The sequence below is a fragment of the Homo sapiens genome, chromosome 5 (genome assembly GCF_000001405.40).
Source record: "Homo sapiens chromosome 5, GRCh38.p14 Primary Assembly".
Taxonomy (NCBI): domain Eukaryota; kingdom Metazoa; phylum Chordata; class Mammalia; order Primates; family Hominidae; genus Homo; species Homo sapiens.
In genome coordinates, this window is record NC_000005.10 from 147945517 (window position 1) to 147948060 (window position 2544).

Below are 2544 nucleotides of genomic sequence, written 5' to 3' on the forward strand. Positions count from 1 at the left end.
TGACCTTTCTCTCTGGCTGCCCTTAACATTTTTTCCTTCATTTCAACTTTGGTGAATCTGACAATTATGTGTCTTGGAGTTGCTCTTCTCGAGGAGTATCTTTGTGGCATTCTCTGTATTTCCTGAATCTGAATGTTGGCCTGCCTTGCTAGATTGGGGAAGTTCTCCTGGATAATATCCTGCAGAGTGTTTTCCAACTTGGTTCCATTCTCCCCATCACTTTCAGGTACACCAATCAGACGTAGATTTGGTCTTTTCACATAGTCCCATATTTCTTGGAGGCTTTGCTCATTTCTTTTTATTCTTTTTTCTCTAAACTTCCCTTCTCACTTCATTTCATTCATTTCATCTTCCATCGCTGATACCCTTTCTTCCAGTTGATGGCATTGGCTCCTGAGGCTTCTGCATTCTTCACGTAGTTCTCGAGCCTTGGTTTTCAGCTCCATCAGCTCCTTTAAGCACTTCTCTGTATTGGTTATTCTAGTTATACATTCTTCTAAATTTTTTTCAAAGTTTTCAACTTCTTTGCCTTTGGTTTGAATATCCTCCCGTAGCTCAGAGTAATTTGATCGTCTGAAGCCTTCTTCTCTCAGCTCGTCAAAGTCATTCTCCGTCCAGCTTTGTTCCGTTGCTGGTGAGGAACTGTGTTCCTTTGGAGGAGGACAGGTGCTCTGCTTTTTAGAGTTTCCAGTTTTTCTGTTCTGTTTTTTCCCCATCTTTGTGGTTTTATCTACTTTTGGTCTTTGATGATGGTGATGTACAGATGGGTTTTTGGTGTGGATGTCCTTTCTGTTTGTTAGTTTTCCTTGTAACAGACAGGACCCTCAGCTGCAGGTCTGTTGGAATACCCTGCCGTGTGAGGTATCAGTGTGTCCCTGCTGGGGGGTGCCTCCCAGTTAGGCTGCTCGGGGGTCAGGGGTCAGGCACCCACTTGAGGAGGCAGTCTGCCCCTTCTCAGATCTCCAGCTGCGTACTGGGAGAACCACTGCTCTCTTCAAAGCTGTCAGATAGGGACATTTAAGTCTGCAGAGGTTACTGCTGTCTTTTTGTTTGTCTGTGCCCTGCCCCAAGAGGTGGAGCCTACAGAGGCAGGCAGGCCTCCTTGAGCTGTGGTGGGCTCCACCCAGTTGGAGCTTCGAGGCTGCTTTGTTTACCTAAGCAAGCCTGGGCAATGGAGGGCGCCCCTCCCCCAGCCTCGCTGCCGCCTTGCAGTTTGATCTCAGACTGCTGTGCTAGCAATCAGCGAGACTCCGTGGGCGTAAGACCCTCCGAACCAGGTGTGGGACATAATCTCGTAGTGCGCCGTTTTTTAAGCCCGACGGAAAAGAGCAGTATTCGTGTGGGAGTGACCCGATTTTCCAGGTGCCATCCATCACCCCTTTCTTTGACTCTGAAAGGGAACTCCCTGACCCCTTGCGCTTCCCAAGTGAGGCAATGCCTCACCCTGCTTCGGCTCGCGCACGGTGTGCACACCCACTGGCCTGCGCCCGCTGTCTGGCACTCCCTAGTGAGATGAACCCGGTATCTAACATGGAAATGCAGAAATCACCCGTCTTCTGTGTCAGTCATGCTGGGAGCTGTAGACCGGAGCTGTTCCTATTCGGCCATCTTGGCTCCCTATTTTTTGTCTTTTTAATAACAGCCATTCTCACTGGGTAAGATGATATCTCATGGTGGTTTTGGTGTGTATTTCCCTGTTGATTAATAATATTGGAATTGTTTTATGTGTCTTCTTTTGAGAAGTGTCTTTTCATGTCCTTTGTACACTTTTCAATGGGGTTTTTTTTGCTTGTATATGTGCTTAAGTTCCTCATAGATTCTGGATCTTAGACTTTTGTTGGATGCATAGTTTGCAAAAGTTTTCCCTTATTCTGAAGGTTGTCTGTTTACTCTTTTGGTAGTTTCCTTTGCTGTGCAGAAGCTGGTTATTTCAATTAGGTCTCCATTGTCACTTTCTGTTTTTGTTGCATTTGCTTGTGAGGGCTTAGTCATAAATTCTTTGCTTAGACCAGTGTCCAAAAAAGTGTTTCCTAGGTTTTCTTCTAGGATTTTTATTGGTTGAGGCATTATATTTAAGTTTAAAATCCATCTTCAGTTAATTTTTGTATATGGTGAAAGGCAGGGTTCCAGTTTCGTTCATTTGCATAGGGTTAGCCAGTTATCCTAGCACCATTTATTAAATAGAAAATTCTTTCCCAATTGTTTCTTTTTGTCAGCTTTGTCAGGTCAGATGGTTTTAGATTTATGGCTTTATTTCTGTGCTATCTATTTTGTTCCACTGGTCTATTTTTGTACCAGTACCATACTATTTTGACTACTGTAGCCTTGTAGTATAGTTTGAAGTCAGGTAATGTGATGCCTCCAGTTTTATTCTTTTTACTCAAGATTGCTCTGACTGGGCTCTTTTGGCTTCATATGAATTTTAGAATTTTGTTTTCTAATTTGTGAAAAGTGATGTTGGTAATTTAATAGGAATTGCATTGAATCTATAGATTGCTTTGGCCAGTATGGTCATTTTAACAACATTGATTCTTTCTTTCTTTC

At 43.6% G+C, this 2544-nt stretch overlaps 1 annotated feature.

Annotated features, from left to right (window-relative positions):
* Window positions 815-1387: an enhancer, noted in NCBI's record as "NANOG-H3K27ac-H3K4me1 hESC enhancer chr5:147325894-147326466 (GRCh37/hg19 assembly coordinates)". NCBI's record gives its function as "activates a minimal SCP1, AML or CMV promoter by ChIP-STARR-seq in naive H9 embryonic stem cells {active_cell/tissue: H9 hESC(naive)}" and the evidence as "EXISTENCE:reporter gene assay evidence [ECO:0000049][PMID:30033119]".